Source organism: Homo sapiens, chromosome 3, assembly GCF_000001405.40.
Source record: "Homo sapiens chromosome 3, GRCh38.p14 Primary Assembly".
Lineage (NCBI taxonomy): Eukaryota > Metazoa > Chordata > Mammalia > Primates > Hominidae > Homo > Homo sapiens.
In genome coordinates, this window is record NC_000003.12 from 139,185,921 (window position 1) to 139,200,331 (window position 14,411).

The 14,411-nt window shown below is 42.7% G+C and overlaps 1 annotated feature.

The window, feature by feature from the left end:
• Positions 13,821-13,870: an enhancer, noted in NCBI's record as "active region_20608". NCBI's record gives its function as "activates an Ori minimal core promoter by ATAC-STARR-seq in GM12878 lymphoblastoid cells {active_cell/tissue: GM12878}" and the evidence as "EXISTENCE:reporter gene assay evidence [ECO:0000049][PMID:35858748]".

Sequence of the window (14,411 nt, forward strand, 5' to 3'; positions counted from 1 at the left end):
GCTCTTCTTTTCAAATACAAATTCCTTTGGGGGAGTAACATGTGAGCTGCTTAATACCGGAGCATGGGAGATTTTTTTCTATATTTTCCTCCAATAGTGGGCTCATGAGGAAGATGAAGAGCCCTGGAAAGGGAGAAACTAGTGTTAGCCTGTTTCATGTTTTTAAAATTTATTTTATTTTATTTATTTATTTTTATTTTCATGATCTAGCCCTGTCCCTACTTCTGATTTCAACAGCCCTGTCTACAAAAATTCCTTTCCAGATTCTCAAGTATTGTAAATGGCACTCAGACAATGTGGCCAGGAAAAAGGATACTGGGTAAGGATAGATAGGTCTGCTTTTTAACCTCTGCCTGGCTATTATTTGCAGGGTGACAATCAACAAGTCTTTTAACCTCTCTGAGCTCTGGTTCCTCAAGCTACTACATCACCATTACCAAGCCCCCTCCTGTCTGTGCCTCAGGGTCCTTGGATGTCATCTGCCTGTACTCAGGGTCACAGGGTACTCTTGGCTTGTCGTTGGGAACCCTGCTGCCTGTGGGGCTGGAGGGAAGGCTTGCTGCTTGATGTATGTGCAGATGTACTGATGTGGGAATGGTGGAGATTGCCAGCCCAGGGGATGCGCAAAGCTGAGGCTGGTTGGAGGAGCCTTTGTGGGTTCTGCTGGATGAATGCTTTCTACCCAGGGAGGTAGTTCCTTCCCCACCAAACTCACCATCTATTGTATAATAAAAGAGTCAGAATTCTGGAAATGATTCACTATAATGGAGATCGTTGTTTTGTTCTTTTGAGCAAAGGGGACTCATTCATTAAACACTTGCTACCAACTGGGTACTTTACATGCTTATTTCATCCTTATGACAAAACAGGTATTTGTGCTTTCAAGTCACAGGTGAAGAAACTGAGGCTCAGCGAGGTTAAATAACTTGCCTGGCATTATTCAAGAAGGAATTGGCTAGAATAGGATTTGAACCAAGGTCTGTCTCTGTTCATTTCTCATTGTTTCTTTGGGACTATCTGCTATTCAGTCAGGCGCTTACTCAGAGACCTTCTCTCTTTCTTGTGTTATCTTTGCCTTCTCCATCAGGGCTTTCTGAACACCGATTGCCGCACTTCCTCTCCCCTAGAATGTTAGATCTCAGGCTTTCCTGGGGTCCTGTGGTCTGGGATAAAGGGGTTGATCACTCCTTCCTACAGAGTTAGGGATATAAGATGTCATTACTGCCCAGAAGAGTTGAATTTGAGAAGAAAAATCTGAAGAAAGCAATGCTTAATCTAGAAGAAATATACTTTGTTGGTAAATTTTCAGGCAGCAGAGAAGGTAGAAGAGATTGATTCTTACATACAGTCTTCCCAGACTCTCAGACGACACTGAAACATTCCACCTTCATGGAAAGCTAGTCTTTCCCTGAGTGCAGGCTGGCCTCTGCCCTCCTTTGGCTGAGTTCCAGGAAATTTCTTTCCACTGTTTCTTCCTCATATAGAATTCTCATCCACATGCAAAAGTCATAGTCAGTTTTAGAAAATAAAAAAGAACACAGAGAAGTTACAAAAATGCAAAAGTGATCATTGCTGCAGAGAGCTGGGTCCTAGTCCTGGCTCCAGCTGGGATCCTGGTGGCCTTGGGCAGTGCTCGTTCCTTCTCTGGGTTTTAGTATCTTCATGTATAAAATGTGTGGGTTGGACCAGTCGGGACTCTCTTATTGGCAGATGATAAAAAAACAACCAAATTGACGTAGGTAGAGAAAGGAATTATATTGGCCTATATAAGTGAGAAGCCCAGGGTAGCCCTGGCTTCATGAATGGATGGATCCAGGGGCTTCCACCCACATGTGGTTAGAACTCAGTCTCTGTCTCCCTCTGCCTGTCTGTTATTTTAGAAGACGGAACAGAGAATAGACCACATTATCTCTGTCACCGCAGTAGGTCTTGGGAGTAGCTCTGATTGGCCCTACTCTGGTCTATCTCTGAACCAATCAGGCTGGGGATGAAATGTGCTGATTGGCCAGGCCTAGGTCATGTGACCTCTATTGGCTGAAGGTGGGAGGTATGGAGTCCTGCTCCATCCAAACCACATAGCCTGAGCTGGAGGCAGGGCTGTTAGCAGAAAAGGGGACGATTCTTTTCCCCTGTTGAGCAGACCCCAACCACTGCCACCTACCATTACTAGGTGAGTGATTTTTAATATCAGGAAGAACTTTAGGGCTATCTATAGATAGTGAAGTATTTTCCCCAAATCAATAAGGATTTAAATGGTCTGAGGAACCTGTTTATCACATGTAGCTGCTTTACTATTGGTATTTCACATGGTTTTCATTTTGATAATTTTTTTGATTTTGCTGATTTAAAAAGCCCAGAAGTATTGGAATAGATGATGTGTAAGGTTTCCATTTAGAATGTTCTAGTAGATTATATGCCAAAGTGAATAATTTTATTCAGTTAAGGGCATATGTTAAGTAGTAAACCTTCAGCTGCGCTCTGTCGTGTCCCTCCTCCCAAATGATCCTTCTGTCTTTATTAACATCTTTGTCGAGCTAGAGCCAAGTCTGCCCTCCCCTCACCCTCGATAACTCACTAGTTTCATGCTTTACAAGCTCTTACAGATGCAAAAGGAAACTTCAGTGCAAGCACAAACCAGGTGCTGGTTCTGGCCTTCGACAGCCCGATTGCTGAGTTACTTGGAGACAGAGGTACTTCCTAAATGCCATTTTCTGGTCTGAATAACATGAGGCCAAAAAAGGAGCTCTTAGGGACAGGCCAATCATAAGATTTGGGGGCTGAGGTCAAGAGGACAAATGGAGGTCTTCATATCACATGTCTATATATTTATCAGTTATAAGTCAAGCTAACAAAGTAAAACTTCTTTCATCCTACCTTGACAAATGTACCTTTGTAATGCCCTAAAGGGCTGGATTTAAATTTAAAATTCTCAGACCTCCCCACATGAATAATGGCAACTAGAATGGTGTGAATCCTCTTTAGAAAGTTTTCAATTTGCTTTTCCCAGATCTATCAGAGATATCACTATCTATGGCAGCTGTAGCCCTACAAAATATATTTATCAAATAATAAGACTTGAAAGTTGAAATTGTTTTTTGATCCATGGGCTTCAGAATGGATGTTGTGTTAGCAGGCATGAAAACACATTAATCTCTTTGTGCATCTTCATCAGAGTTATTGGGTAACCAGGTGCATTGTCAATGAGCAGTAATATTTTGAAAGGAATTTTTTTGTTTGTTTTTTTTTTTCCTGAGCAGTCGGTTTCAACAGTGAGCTTAAAATACTCAGTAAAGCATGCTGTTAACAGATGTGCCCTCATCCAGGCTTTGTTTTTCCATTTATAGAGCACAGAGTAGATTTAACATAATTCTTTTTTTTAAATTTATTTATTTTTATTGAGATGGAGTCTCACTCCATTGCCCAGGCTGGAGTGCAGTGGCTCGATCTCGGCTCACTGCAACCTCCACCTCCTGGGTTCAAGCGATTCTTCCGCTTCAGCTTCTGGAGTAGCTGAGATTACAGGCACCCGCCATCAGGCCCAGCTAATTTTTGTATTTTTCTGTAGAGATGCAGTTTCACCGTGTTGGCCAGGCTGGTCTTGAACTCCTGACCCCAGGTGATCCAACCGCCTCGGCCTCCCAAAGCGCTGGGATTACAGGCGTGAGCCACTGTGCCCGGCCAATTTAACATAATTTTTAAGGGCCCTAGGATTTTCTCAATGATATATGAGCATTGGCTTCAACTTAAAGTCATCGTCATGAGGTCAGGAGTTTGAGACCAGCCTGGCCGACATAGTGAAACACCGTCTCTATTAAAAAAATACAAAAATTAGCTGGACATGGTGGCACGTGCCTGTAGTTCCAGCTACTTGGGAGGCTGCCGCAAGAGAATCACTTGAACCCAGGAGGTGGAGGTTGTGGTGAACTGAGATCCCGCCGCTGCACTCCAGCCTGGGCAACAGAGCGAGACTGTGCCACAAAAAAAAAAAAAAAAAAAAAAAAAAAAAATTCATAAGCTGCATTAGCCCCTAACAAGAGAGTCAGTCAGCTTATTCTTTGAAGCTTTGAAGCCAAGCATTGACTTCCCCTAATTATAAAAGTCCTAAATGGCATCTTCTTCCCATGTAAGGCTGTTTGTTTGCATTGAAACTCTATTGTTTAGCGCAGCGACGTTCATCAGGCTGGGGATGAAATGTGCTGATTGGCCAGGCCTAGGTCATGTGACCTCTATTGGCTGAAGGTGGGAGGTATGGAGTCCTGCTCCATCCAAACCACATAGCCTGAGCTGGAGGCGGGGCTGTTAGCGGAAAAGGGGACAATTCTTCTCCCCTGTTGGGCAGACCCCCAAGCACTGCCACCTACCACTACTAGGTAAGTGATTTTTAATACCAGGAAGAACTTTAGGGCTATCTATAGATAGTGAAGTATTTCCCCCAAATCAATAAGGATTTAAATGGTCTGCATTAACCCCTGACTGACTTCAGCTAGATCTTTTGGGTAACTTTCTGCAGCTTTCGCCTCAGCACTTGCTGCTTCACCTTGCACTTTTATGTTATAGAGATGGCTTCTTTCCTTAAACCTCATGAACCAATCTCTGCTAGCTTTCAGCTTTTCTTCTGCAGATTCCTTACCACAGAATTGAAGAGAGTTAGGGCCTTGCTCTGGATTAGACTTAGGCTTAAGGGAATGTTGTGGCTGGTTTGATCTTCTTTTTTTATATATATTTTATTTTATTATTATTATACTTTAAGTTTTAGGGTACGTGTGCACAACGTGCAGGTTTGTTACATATGTATACATGTGCCATGTTGGTGTGCTACACCCATTAACTCGTCATTTAACATTAGATATATCTCCTAATGCTATCCCTCCCCCATCCCCGCACCCCACAACAGTCCCGGGTGTGTGATGTTCCCCTTCCTGTGTCCATGTGTTCTTATTGTTCAGTTCCCACCTATGAGTGAGAACATGTGGTGTTTGGTTTTTTGTCCTTGTGATAGTTTGCTGAGAATGATGGTTTCCAGTCTTCATCCATGTCCCTACAAAGGACGTGAACTCATCATTTTCTATGGCTGCATAGTATTCCATGGTGTATATGTGCCACATTTTCTTAATCCAGTCTATCATTGTTGGACATTTGGGTTGGTTCCAAGTCTTTGCTATTGTGAATAGTGCCACAATAAACATACGTGTCTTTATAGCAGCATGATTTATAATCCTTTGGGCATATACCCAGTAATGGGATGGCTGGGTCAAATGGTATTTCTAGTTCTAAATCCCTGAGGAATCGCCACACTGACTTCCACAATGGTTGAACTAGTTTACAGTCCCACCAACAGTGTAAAAGTGTTCCTATTTCTCCACATCCTCTCCAGCACCTGTTGTTTCCTGACTTTTTAATGATCACCATTCTAACTGGTGTGAGATGGTATCTCATTGTGGTTTTGATTTGCATTTCTCTGATGGCCAGTGATGATGAGCATTTTTTCATGTGTTTTTTGGCTGCATAAATGTCTTCTTTTGAGAAGTGTCTGTTCATATCCTTCACCCACTTTTTGATGGGGTTGTTTGTTTTTTTCTTGTAAATTTGTTTGAGTTCATTGTAGATTCTGGATATTAGCCCTTTGTCAGATGAGTAGGTTGCAAAAATTTTCTCCCATTCAGTAGGTTGCCTGTTCACTCTGATGGTAGTTTCTTTTGCTGTGCAGAAGCTCTTTAGTTTAATTAGATCCCATTTGTCAATTTTGGCTTTTGTTGCCATTGCTTTTGGTGTTTTAGACATGAAGTCCTTGCCCATGCCTATGTCCTGAATGGTATTGCCTAGGTTTTCTTCTAGGGTTCTTATGGTTTTAGGTCTAACATGTAAGTCTTTAATCCATCTTGAATTAATTTTTTGTATAAGGTGTAAGGAAGGGATCCAGTTTCAGCTTTCTACATATGGCTAGCCAGTTTTCCCAGCACTATTTATTAAATAGGGAATCCTTTCCCCATTTCTTGTTTTTGTCAGGTTTGTCAAAGATCAAATAGTTGTAGATATGTGGCATTATTTCTGAGGGCTCTGTTCTGTTCCATTGGTCTATATCTCTGTTTTGGTACCAGTACCATGCTGTTTTGGTTACTGTAGCCTTGTAGTATAGTTTGAAGTCAGGTAGCATGATGCCTCCAGCTTTGTTCTTTTGGCTTAGGGTTGACTTGGCAATGTGGGCTCTTTTTTGGTTCCATATGAACTTTAAAGTAGTTTTTTCCAATTCTATGAAGAAAGTCATTGGTGGCTTGATGGGGATGGCATTGAATCTATAAATTACCTCGGGCAGTATGGCCATTTTCATGATATTGATTCTTCCTACCCATGAGCATGGAATGTTCTTCCATTTGTTTGTATCCTATTTTATTTCCTTGAGCAGTGGTTTATAGTTCTCCTTGAAGAGGTCCTTCACATCCCTTGTAAGTTGGATTCCTAGGTATTTTATTCTCTTTGAAGCAATTGTGAGTGGGAGTTCACTCATGATTTGGCTCTCTGTTTGTCTGTTATTGGTGTATAAGAATGCTTGTGATTTTTGTACATTGATTTTGTATCCTGAGACTTTGCTGAAGTTGCTTATCAGCTTAAGGAGATTTTGGGCTGAGATGATGGGGTTTTCTAGATATAAAATCATGTCATCTGCAAACAGGGACAATTTGACTTCCTCTTTTCCTAATTGAATGCCCTTTATTTCCTTCTCCTGCCTGATTGCCCTGGCCAGAACTTCCAACACTATATTGAATAGGAGTGGTGAAAGAGGGCATCCCTGTCTTGTGCCAGTTTTCAAAGGGAATGCTTCCAGTTTTTGTCCATTCAGTATGATATTGGCTGTGGGTTTGTCATAGATAGCTCTTATTATTTTGAGATACGTCTCATCAATACCTAATGTATTGAGAGTTTTTAGCATGAAGGGTTGTTGAATTTTGTCAAAGGCCTTTTCTGCATCTATTGAGATAGTCATATGGTTTTTGTCTTTGGTTCAGTTTATATGCTGGATTACATTTATTGATTTGTATATGTTGAACCAGCCTTGCATCCCAGGGATGAAGCCCACTTGATCATGGTGGATAAGCTTTTTGATGTGCTGCTGGATTCGGTTTGCCAGTATTTTATTGAGGATTTTTGCATCAATGTTCGTCAAGGATATTGGTCTAAAATTCTCTTTTTTTTGTTGTGTCTCTGCCGGGCTTTGGTATCAGGATTATGCTGGCCTCATAAAATGAGTTAGGGAGGATTCCTTCTTTTTCTATTGATTGGAATAGTTTCAGAAGGAATGGTACCAGCTCCTCCTTTTACCTCTGGTAGAATTCGGCTGTGAATCCATCTGGTCCTGGACTCTTTTTGGTTGGTAAGCTATTAATTATTGCCTCAATTTCAGAGCCTATTATTAGTCTATTCAGAGATTCAAATTCTTCCTGGTTTAGTCTCGGGAGGGTGTATGTGTTGAGGAATTTATCCGTTTCTTCTAGATTTTCTAGTTTATTTGCGTAGAGGTGTTTATAGGATTCTCTGACGGTAGTTTGTATTTCTGAGGGATCGGTGGTGATATCCCCTTTGTCATTTTTTATTGCGTCTATTTGATTCTTCTCTCTTTTCTTCTTTATTAGTCTTGCTAGCGGTCTATCAATTTTGTTGATCTTTTCAAAAAACCAGCTCCTGGATTCATTGATTTTTTGAAGGGTTTTTTGTGTCTATATCTCCTTCAGTTCTGCTCTGATTTTAGTTATTTCTTGCCTTCTGCTAGCTTTTGAATGTGTTTGCTCTTGCTTCTCTAGTTCTTTTAATTGTGATGTTAGGGTGTCAATTTTAGATCTTTCCTGCTTTCTCTTGTGGGCATTTAGTGCTATAAATTTCCCTCTGCACACTGCTTTGAATGTGTCCCAGACATTCTGGTATGTTGTGTCTTTGTTCTCGTTGGTTTCAAAGAACATCTTTATTTCTGCCTTCATTTCGTTATGTACCCAGTAGTCATTCAGGAGCAGGGTTGTTCAGTTTCCATGTAGTTGAGCAGTTTTGAGTGAGTTTCTTAATCCTGAGTTCTAGTTTGATTGCACTGTGGTCTGAGAGACAGTTTGTTATAATTTCTGTTCTTTTACATTTGCTGAGGAGTGCTTTACGTCCAACTATGTGGTCAATTTTGGAATAGGTGTGGTGTGGTACTGAAAAGAATGTATATTCTGTTGATTTGGGGTGGAGATTCCTGTAGATGTCTATTAGGTCCGCTTGGTGCAGAGCTGAGTTCAATTCCTGGGTATCCTTGTTAACTTTCTGTCTCGTTGATCTGTCTAATGTTGACAGTGGGGTGTTAAAGTCTCCCATCATTATTGTGTGGGAGTCTAAGTCTCTTTGTAGGTCTCTAAGGACTTGCTTTATGAATGTGGGTGCTCCTGTATTGGGTGCATATATATTTAGGATAGTTAGCTCTTCTTGTTGAATTGATCCCTTTACCATTATGTAATGGCCTTCTTTGTCCCTTTTGATCTTTGTTGGTTTAAAGTCTGTTTTATCCGAGACTAGGATTGCAACACCTGCCTTTTTCTGTTTTCCATTTGCTTGGTAGATCTTCCTCCATCCCTTTATTTTGAGCCTATATGTGTGTCTGCACGTGAGATGGGTTTCCTGAATACAGCACACTGATGGGTCTTGACTCTTTATCCAATTTGCCAGTCTGTGTCTTTTAATTGGAGCATTTAGCCCATTTACATTTAAAGTTAATATTGTTATGTGTGAATTTGATCCTGTCATTATGATGTTAGCTGGTTATTTTGCTCGTTAGTTGATGCAGTTTCTTCCTAGCCTCGATGGTCTTTACAATTTGGCATGATTTTGCAGTGGCTGGTACCGGTTGTTCCTTTCCATGTTTAGTGCTTCCTTCAGGAGCTCTTTTAGGGCAGGCCTGGTGGTGACAAAATCTCTCAGCATTTGCTTGTGTGTAAAGTATTTTATTTCTCCTTCACTTATGACGCTTAGTTTGGCTGGATATGAAATTCTGGATTGAAAATTCTTTTCTTTAAGAATGTTGAATATTGGCCCCCACTCTCTTCTGGCTTGTAGAGTTTCTGCCGAGAGATCCGTTGTTAGTCTTATGGGCTTCCCTTTGTGGGTAACCTGACCTTTCTCTCTGGCTGCCCTTAACATTTTTTCCTTCATTTCAAGTTTGGTGAATCTGACAATTATGTGTCTTGGAGTTGCTCTTCTCAAGGAGTATCTTTGTGGCGGTTCTCTGTATTTCCTGAATTTGAATGTTGGCCTGCCTTGCTAGATTGGGGAAGTTCTTCTGGATAATATCTTGCAGAGTGTTTTCCTATTTGGTTCCATTCTCCCCGTCAGTTTCAGGTACACCAATCAGACATAAATTTGGTCTTTTCACATAGTCCCATATTTCTTGGAGGCTTTGTTCGTTTCTTTTTATTCTTTTTTCTCTATACTTCTCTTCCCACTTCATTTCATTCATTTCCTTTTCCATTGCTGATACCCTTTCTTCCAGTTGATCACATCGGCTACTGAGGCTTGTGCATTTGTCACGTAGTTCTCGTGCCTTGGTTTTCAGCTCCATCAGGTCCTTTAAGGACTTCTCTGCATTGGTTGTTCTAGTTAGCCATTTGTCTGATTTTTTTTCAAGGTTTTTAACTTCTTTGCCATTGGTTCGAACTTCCTCCTTTAGCTCGGAATAGTTTGATCTTCTGAAGCCTTCTTCTCTCAACTCATCAAAGTCATTCTCCGTCCAGCTTTGTTCCATTGCTGGTGAGGAGCTGCGTTCCTTTGGAGGAGGAGAGGTGCTCTGATTTTTAGAGTTTCCATTTTTTCTGCTCTGTTTTTTCCCCATCTTTGTGGTTTTATGTACCTTTGGTCATTGATGATGGTGATGTACAGATGGGTTTTTGGGGTGGATGTCCTTTGTGTTTGTTAGTTTGCCTTCTAACAGTCAGGACCCTCAGCTGCATGTCTGTTGGAGTTTGCTGGAGGTCCACTCCAGACCCTGTTTGCCTGGGTATCAGCGGCGGTTGCTGCAGAACAGTGGATATCGGTGAACCGCAAATGCTGCTCCCTGATCGTTCCTCTGGAAGTTTTGTCTCAGAGGAGTACCCGGCCGTGTGAGGTGTCAGTTTGCCCATACTGGGGGGTGTCTCCCAGTTAGGCTACTCGGGGGTGAGGGACCCACTTGAGGAGGCAGTCTGCCCATTCTCAGATCTCAAGCTGTGTGCTGCGAGAACCACTACTCTCCTCAAAGCTGTCAGACAGGGACATTTAAGTCTGCAGAGGTTACTGCTGCCTTTTGTTTGTCTGTGCCCTGCCCCCAGAGGTGGAGCCTACAGAGGCAGTTTGAGCTTCCCGGCTGCTTTGTTTACCTAATCAAACAACTAACTCAGCAGTGGTGGGCGCCCCTCCCCCAGCCTCGCTGCCACCTTGCAGTTTGATCTCAGACTGCTGTGCTAGCAATGAGCAAGGCTCCATGGGCGTAGGATCCTCCGAGCCAGGTGCAGGATATAATCTCCTGGTGTGCCGTTTGTTAATCCCGTTGGAAAAGCGCAGTATTAGGGTGGGAGTGACCCGATTTTCCAGGTGCCATCTGTCACCCCTTTCTTTGACTAGGAAAGGGAATTCCCTGACCCCTTGTGCTTCCTGGGTGAAGCGATGCCTCACCCTGCTTCAGCTCATGCACGGTGCGCTGCACCCACTGTCCTGCACCTGCTGTCTGGCACTCCCCAGTGAGATGAACCTGGTACCTCAGTTGGAAATGCAGAAATCACCTGTCTTCTGTGTCGCTCATGCTGGGAGCTGTAGACTGGAGCTGTTCCTATTCAGCCGTCTTGGCTCCACCTCGGCTGGTTTGATCTTCTATACAGACCACAAAAACTTTCTCCATATCAGCAATGAGGCTGTTTAATCTTCTTATCATTCATATGTTCACTGGAGTAGCACTTTTAATTTCCTTCAATAACTTTTCCTTTGCAATCACAACTTGGTTAACTGTTTGGTGCAAGAGGCCTAGTTTTCAGCCGATCTCAGCTTTTGACATATCTTCTTCATTTTGGACATATCTTCAAACTTAGCAATTTCTAGCTTTTGATTTAAAGTGAGACATACCACTCTTCCTTTTACCTTGAACACTGGCCTAATTTCAATATTGTAGGGTCATTAACTGGCCTAATTTCAATATTGTTGTATTTCAGAGAATAGGGAGGCACAAGGAGGAGAGAGACAAGGGAATGGCCAGGCGGTGGAGCAGTCAGAACATACACATTTATTGAGATTAATTAAGTTTGCCTTCCTATATGGGCATGGTTCATGGTGCTCCAAAACAATTACAATAATAACATCAAAGATCACTGGTCACCATAAAGACATAATAATAATAAAAAATGGAAATATTGCAAGAATTTTTAAGATATGACACAGAGACACTAAGTGAGCATATGATGTCGGAAAAGTGGTGCTCATAGACTTGCTTGATGCGGGTCACTGTAAACCTTCAAGTTGTAAAAAAAAAAAAAAAATGCACTACCTGCTAAGTGCAATAAAGTGAAACACAATAAAATGGCAATTGTCCATAGTAGTTAGGTCTCAGCTAGTTGCTAACAGAGTAATAGGAAGGTATATTGGAGGTTCCAGCTGAACTGCTGAGATATTATAAAATGGAGGTTCAATACCAATGTTAGTGGTGAGGCTGTGCAGGGTGTGCATTTTTCAAAGGGACTCCTAGACAATTTGTTTCATGACTCTAAAAACCCCTCATCCTGGAGAGAGTTGGAGAAGAAATATTTTGGTGAAAGTTGCTGGAGTGGGGAGGTGGGAGGTGTCTGCTCCCACCTCAGGCTGGTGGGAAGGGTGTCAAGGCTTACTCAGCCCAGCAGGGTCATATGGCACCGAGCAGGGAGTTGTATTCTGCATTCTCAGGATTTGTGAGTGTTTCCCATGGACCAGATTGGGCCATGTACACAAGAACTGGCTGAGAGCCATTTGTTCTGCTGCCTAAGAGTTCTACATGGAAGGGGTCACTGAAACCAGCTATACCACATGTGGGATCCAGACCTCATCTCCTGGCCAGCCTTGGAGAATCATCTTTCTCTTTCCGAACACCTCTTCCCTCTTCTCTGTCAGGACTCTGGGCATAATCCTCTCAATAAGTCTGGGGGCAGAGCCTGCTAGTTGCCCCAAGGATCCATTCTGCCCTTATTCCACAGCAATAAGATTTGTAGCTGGGCACATAGCTGTATAGCTGGAGACTATATTTCTTAGCTTCCCTTGCAGCTGAGGGGTGACTTTATCACTAAGTTCTTATCAATGGATTCTGAGCAGAAGAGATGTGTGAGGGATTTGTTGGTAATTATTTAACAACCAGCTCTTCAGAGAAAATAAAGCCTTGACTGTAGTGTTTACGAGTTTCCATGGTGTCAGTGTTCTAGCCATGGCTGACTTCAAGCTACAAATGTGGATTGAGGAGAGATGTGCACAGTCATCTCTTGGAGCCAGTGAGATCCAGCACACCACTGGGGCGGCTTCTGGCTCATGCCCTTTAAGGACCCAGGCTTGGGCCTAACATGCTCTTTACCTGCTTCCTTCATGCTGGCTGTGATGCAGACATGGTAGAGAGCCATCTTGTGCCATGTGGAAGAGGGCAACATTCCAGGGATGGCAGACCAACAAGAGAAAGGGAGCTTGGGCCACAGTGACTATGGGGGCAGAGGGGCTATTTTGGTTCACAAATTTGCATGAGGGTAAAATAAACATCAATCTTATTTAAGTCATTTTGGTTTTAGGGTTTTCACCACAAATAGCTGAATGTCTGAAGTTTAATTCACCCAGGAGTCCATAAAAATAGAAAGAGAGGTTGCCATTCAGCAGCTTCTGCTTCCTGCCTGGCAGTACCCAACTCTCCTGAGGACTGGAGGGGCACCAGGTTCAGGGCCTAGTATGAGAGAGGGAGAGGAAAACATGGACTTTCTGTCTCAGTGGATCATGCTGTCCAAATTGTTGTAGTCCATCCCTCCAGGAGGCTGTGGGTTTCTAGTGAGACCCTGATGCCCAGAAGGCACATTTTGTCACACCCTAGACATCAGAGATGTGTGACAGGTCCAGATTTGGTTTCACTTTGGTTCATGGAGAGGCTTGATCTTTTCTTTGTGCTAGCAGCCCAGTTGCTGTCTGTCTTCTCAGCTTCTGCCTGGTCTCTGACTCAGTCTGCCATTTCCTCAGGGCATGGCATCCCACGTACATTGCTGATGATCACCCAGCCACCATGTGAGGTTCAATGCCTGAGGACTATTCTTGCCACTGGACAGATGAGCAAACCAAAGCCCAGATAATCTATCTTGCTTGTGTAATCTCTTAATAGTCTAACTTCTTTAACTGGCTGTGGGCTCCGGGGAGGCAGGGATCATGTCTGGTGTGTTTGCTGTTGTAGCCTCAGTGCCCACCTCAGTGCCTACTTTGGGGCTGGCATTCAATGAAGGTTGATTCTCTTAATAAAAAGAATCCTTGTTACCGGTTTTTTTTTTTTTTTTTTTTTTTTTTTTTCCCAGAACTCAAGCAGAATTGTGGTTCTCAGCCTGGTGTACTTTCAAGTGCAAGAATTACTGGAAGCACATTGGAGATTTTGCCCCCCTCCTCCCCCAGGGGACTTGGGGCAATGTTCACTTGGGGCAATGACACTTTCAATTGTCAAAACTGGGAAACAGGTGCTACTGGCATCTAGTAGTTAGAGGCCAAGAATGCTGCTAAACATCCTATAATGTACAGGATAGCCTCCTACAACAAAGGGAACTATGACAAAAATTATCCATTCCAAACATGAGTGGTGTAGAGGTTGAGAAACACTGGTATTAATAGAATTTGCAGCCTCTGGGGATGGAGAGTCCCTGCAAAAGTTGCAGTAGCAGAGGCAGCAGCAGGCTCTTCTGTGGCCAGAACCAGCCCTTTTCCTTCCTAAGGGGGTTTCTGCAAAGCTCAGATCACAGACAGGCCTTGCTGGGGCAATCTTTCTTAATGGGCTGTGGCTGACTTAGCTCCTGCTTCACGAAGTGTGTTGTAAGTCCTCCTGACTTACTTAAAGCTGGTAGAAACGTTGTTGGCATGACATGCCTGCATGGCCATGTGAAAGATGCATCAAAAGGTAAAAAAACAAAACAACCCCACCCCCCTGAAAACTACCTTCTCTTTGGCTTAATAATTTCTTTTCCAGGAATAAAGCCAAAGTAAATAATTGAAGAAATACATAGCAATTTATCTTGGGGATATTCAGGGCAATGTTGTTTATAGTAGCAGTAAGTCAGTAGGGAATGCTACATTGTGATACACTCATATAATGTGCATTGAGGGTTGCATTTAGCTTCAAGAAACCAAGAATGTGACCAAAGGGGCTTTAACAGATGGATTAATTTATTGCAATA